This window comes from Homo sapiens, chromosome 1 (genome assembly GCF_000001405.40).
Source record: "Homo sapiens chromosome 1, GRCh38.p14 Primary Assembly".
NCBI lineage: Eukaryota > Metazoa > Chordata > Mammalia > Primates > Hominidae > Homo > Homo sapiens.
In genome coordinates, this window is record NC_000001.11 from 164,341,120 (window position 1) to 164,345,672 (window position 4,553).

General features: G+C 43.2%; 1 pseudogene; it reads left to right on the top strand.

The window, feature by feature from the left end:
- NMNAT1P2 (NMNAT1 pseudogene 2) lies at positions 1,833 to 2,322 on the top strand (annotated as a pseudogene).

Here is a 4,553-nt window from a genome sequence, read left to right on the forward strand (position 1 = left end):
AAAGAAAAAGAAAAAGAAAAGAAAAGAAATCCATTGCTAGGAAAGAGGTAGGCCTAGAAGGTTTCATGCTTAATATTTTATTATACAGCTCAAGTAATAGTGGGCCTTGATGACCATTAAACTGAGTTTCCCCACCTTATTTCTGATGTTTAAGTATGCACCCCCTGCTTCCATTCTAGAATTTCAGATCATTTTGAAAGTAGCAAGAAGAAAGTGACTCATTTATACACAAGGAAACCTCCAAAGGCTATCAGCAGATTTCACAGCAGAAACCTGGTAGGCTAGGAGAGCTTGGGATGATATATTTAAAGTGATGGCTAGCGGGTGGGGGAGGGACTTTGTCAACCAAGAATACTATACTCGGTGAAACTATCTTTTAGCAATGAAAGAGAGATAAAGACTTTTCTAGACCAACAAAAACTGTGGGAGTTCATTACCACTAGAACTCCCTTAAAAGAAATGTTAAAGAAAGTTTTTCAACTTGAAACAAAAGGACACTAACAACATAAAAACACATGAAAGTACAAAATTCATTGTAAGCAAAGGAGGAGAGTCAAGATGGCTGATTAGATGCAGCCAGGAAGAGTATCTCCCACTGAAAAACCAGGCAGGCCATCAAGAAGACAGCACAGCCCAAGCAGATCTTTAGAAGGTAGGCATTGAGAGTGGATGAAGGGAGGATGCAGAAATTAGGCTGAAGGGGGAGGAAGTTGAGAACTCTCAATTAGGTTGTCAAGCACCAGGACTCATTCCTGGCCCCCAGTGGCTCCTGGGGAAGGGATTATTTAAGTAGGCATGGAGTGGCCTACTCTCACCATGGACCCCAGAATGCTAGCTGCAGGAGATCCCATGACCCCCACAAACATTTGAGCTGGCAGAGAGAGCTGCTTGTAGAGTTGACAGGGGCAGGATTCCAACCTGTGTGGAGCCCAGAAACGTTCGCATAGGAATGGCTGCAGTGGAGCATGACCAGGAGTGCCAATCCCCCAAGGCCTGCCACATTCCTCAAGAAGGTTTGGCCTTTGTTGACTGTTGGAGCTGGACAGAGCAGGGCTCTCTTGCCCAGAAGACAGGGCCACTCTGATCTGAGTGCCACCCTGTCTGCCAATCTCTCTCGAGGTCCCTGCCTGGCTGTGCCCACTTGCCTGCACTGTGCCACTGGCAGTGCAGCCTCGGATGCCCAACCAGGGTGCATCGCAGTGGCCACTGCCATAGCCTTTTTGCTGGCAGACCCCGCCTATCTGTAGAAGAGCTTCTTCAGACTGGCCCCTGTCAGTATGCACCCAAGTGAACCCTCCTCCCACTGCTTTGCCAGCATGCATGGGTGGACTTTACCATCCCACTGCCACCAGTGCACATGCACAAACTGCTCTGCCACTACTCCAGTGAAGTGATTTTGCCAGCACCTCCCATTGGAGTGTTGTTGCCAGCAAACCAGGAACACCTCAGCCCCTCTGGCACACCAGGTATTTAACCTTGACAGGCCACAGAACAAAGCTGTGGGCCTTGTTCCAGCCCCCAGGGTTAGAGCACATGGCTCAGGAGTGCTGAGCTGAGCCTTGTCCCCCTGAAATCATCCAGAAATGAAGCCAGTCAACTGAACCCAAATTATACCACGGGCAAATTCTCAAGGGCATCAAAGAAAATAAAAGCAAAAGGCCCCATCCAAAGAATAGCAACTGTAAAGATTGAGGAAACATTTTCTCCCTTGACTGAGCCTACCACAGCCTTTCTAAGGTTTTTTTCCTAGTGAGGCTGAGAGGGTCTTTAAGGAAAACCCTGCATCTGGACATGCCTTGAGGGAAGGCGTCAAATCCAGAAGCATGGAAAAGACAAGGGAGGCATTACAGTTTTCTAATGAAATCAACAACTTCAACTTCTTACCATGGAAAATTCAGAGAAGTCTGAAGTGGTTCTCCTTGCTTGTGGTTCTTTTAATCCTATCACCAACATGCACCTCAGGTTGTTTGAGCTGGCCAAGGACTACAAGTGGAACAGGAAGATACAGAGTTGTCAAAGACATAATCTCTCCTGTTGGCAATACCAGGAGAATGGACTCATTCCTGCCCGTCACTGGGTCATCAGGTCAAAACTTCCCACCAAGAATGCCAAATGGGTGGAAGTTGATACATAAAAAGTCTTCAAAAGGAGCAGATAGAAACTGTTAAGGTGCTTATACACCATCAGGAGAAACTGGAGGCTAGTAACTGTGATAACCAGCAGAACTTGCGTACGCTAGAAAGGCCTGGACAAAAGAGGAAGTGGACTGAACAAAGACAGGATTCTAGTTGAAAGAAATCCCTGGAGTCCAAAACAAAAGGTACAACAAAGGTCAAGCTGTTGTGTGGGACAGATTATTGGAGTCCTTTGGTATTCCCAATTTGTGGAAGGCAGAAGACATCACCCAGATTGTGGCAGACTATGAGTTCACATGTATACTCAGGCTGGAAATGATGCTCAGAAATTCATCCATAATCTGACGTGCTGTGAAAACACTGGAGCATCATTCACATAGTGAATGAATGGATCACTAATGATATCTCATCTACAACAATCTGGAGAGCCCTCAGAAGGGGACAGAGCATTCGCTACTTGTTATGAGAACTTGTCCAAGAATAAATCAAAAAGCATAATTTGTAATTATCGAAAAGCATAATCTGTCTTCTGAGGGTGAAGACAGGAATGCTGGGATCATTCTGGCCCCTTTGAGAGAAACACTGCAGAAGCTAAGGCAAAGGAATCTACGGCATGATGATTTGGACTTCCCTGTTGGGGATTTGAAACAATCTGGGTGTGAGTAACTGGGGAAATAAATTGTGATCCTGTTGCATAAACTAAAGCTTAAAAGTTTAGTAAAAATCAGTGGTAAGTTAGAAACAGGGTTTTCTTTTCTTTTTATCAGAAATTGCTAAGATTAATGTTTTCCTTATGTTCTTCTTTTTTTAAGAATGTACAAATCTCTTTATCTTTAAAACAAGAGATTTAGCAGCACACTAAAACCAGAAGAATTTTCAGTGAAACTAGTTACAAATAAGAAGTCAAAAAGTACATCCTAGCTCTACCACATAAAAGAAGCAAAGTGTGAAAAGCAAACATTCACTTAAAATTCTAACTTTGGTTATGAAGGGAATTGACATTTTATCCATGATTGTTGCTGGGTAATCTGCAGCCAGGGTAGACAAAGGAAGGAATTCTTACAGTGGTGATCTTATAAAATGAACCATTGACAAATCATCTTCACTTATGCCAAATAAAGGTTGTGCACATGCATGGCAGAAACATTGCACCAATAGTTAGTTCTCTGTGGTACACATCAGAATTGCTGACTAAACTTTGGCAAGACCTACCTGCCTGGAGCTCCACCTTTGGAGGTAGGGAGTGAGGTCCAAGCCCTCACATGTTTAGAAAGATGCAGGTACCAGCTACTCGGGAGGCTGGGGCAGGAGAATCGTTTGAACCTGGGAGGCGGAAGTTGCAGTGAGCTAAGATTGCGCCAGTGCACACTAGCCTGGCGACAGAGCAACACTCTATCTCAGAAAAAAAAAAAAAGAGAGAGAGAGACAAAGAAAGATTCAGGTATTTCTGATGCCCCCCAGAGATAGCTGCTGCCTTACACTTTATAACCATTCACTTAGCCTTGTTATGGATCATGCTCTAGCCCTGGCCATCCACCCTCTCTTTATCTTCAGGAACAACTTGAGAGATGACACCATGCTACCTTGAATCGAGAGAACCACAGGGAACGAGGGGTCTCATGCAAGGATTTTATAAGTCTGAATGCTCTTAGCCTTTATTGGTAGCTTAATCAAAAGACCTGAGTGAGGCATAGTGGCGCATGCTCTGTAATCCCATCTGCTTTGGAGGCAGGAACAGGAGGAAAGCTTGAGCCTAGGAGTTTGAAACCAGCCTGGGCAAAATAGTGAGAACATGTCTTTAAAAATCCTGGAGTTTCTGAAGAGCCCTGCTGTTTCTGTTCCAGCCCACTGTGAATCTGCCATTTGTGAGTTTAAGCAGAAAAAGGGTCTGTTTTCCTATACTTTTTCTCTTCTTTTTTTTTTTTGTATGACGTTTAACCAAAGTAGTATTCTCAAATAGTCATAGCTTTATGTTAAAACACAAGCTTGTTACATGGTTTGCTACTGATTAAAATTTTGTGGAAGTTTTACCAGTTGGTAAGGAAGAAGATCAGTAAAAGCTTTTTGTAGATTAGTTTTAGGGTTTGTGAAAATAATCCTACGATAGAAACCGGACTAAAGTTAAATTTCTAATGAAGATAGGATATTTGCCTTTTTGCAATTTCTATTTTATACTTACACCATCCTAGATGAAGAGTTTGTAACTGCTGAAGAAAAAAATACTTAGAAATGTACAATTGTATAGTCAGAGCTGAATCTATAGTTTAAAAAAGGGAAATGTTAAATAAAGTTAAGTAAATGTATGTGTTACAGTTCCCAACTTACTCCTGCTAAAGCCATCAGCCAACTCTCAAAGAGAGGGAGGGTGCAAAGCCTGACATGTAGCAGGTTTCAGTATCCATCCACCAAGTGAATGAA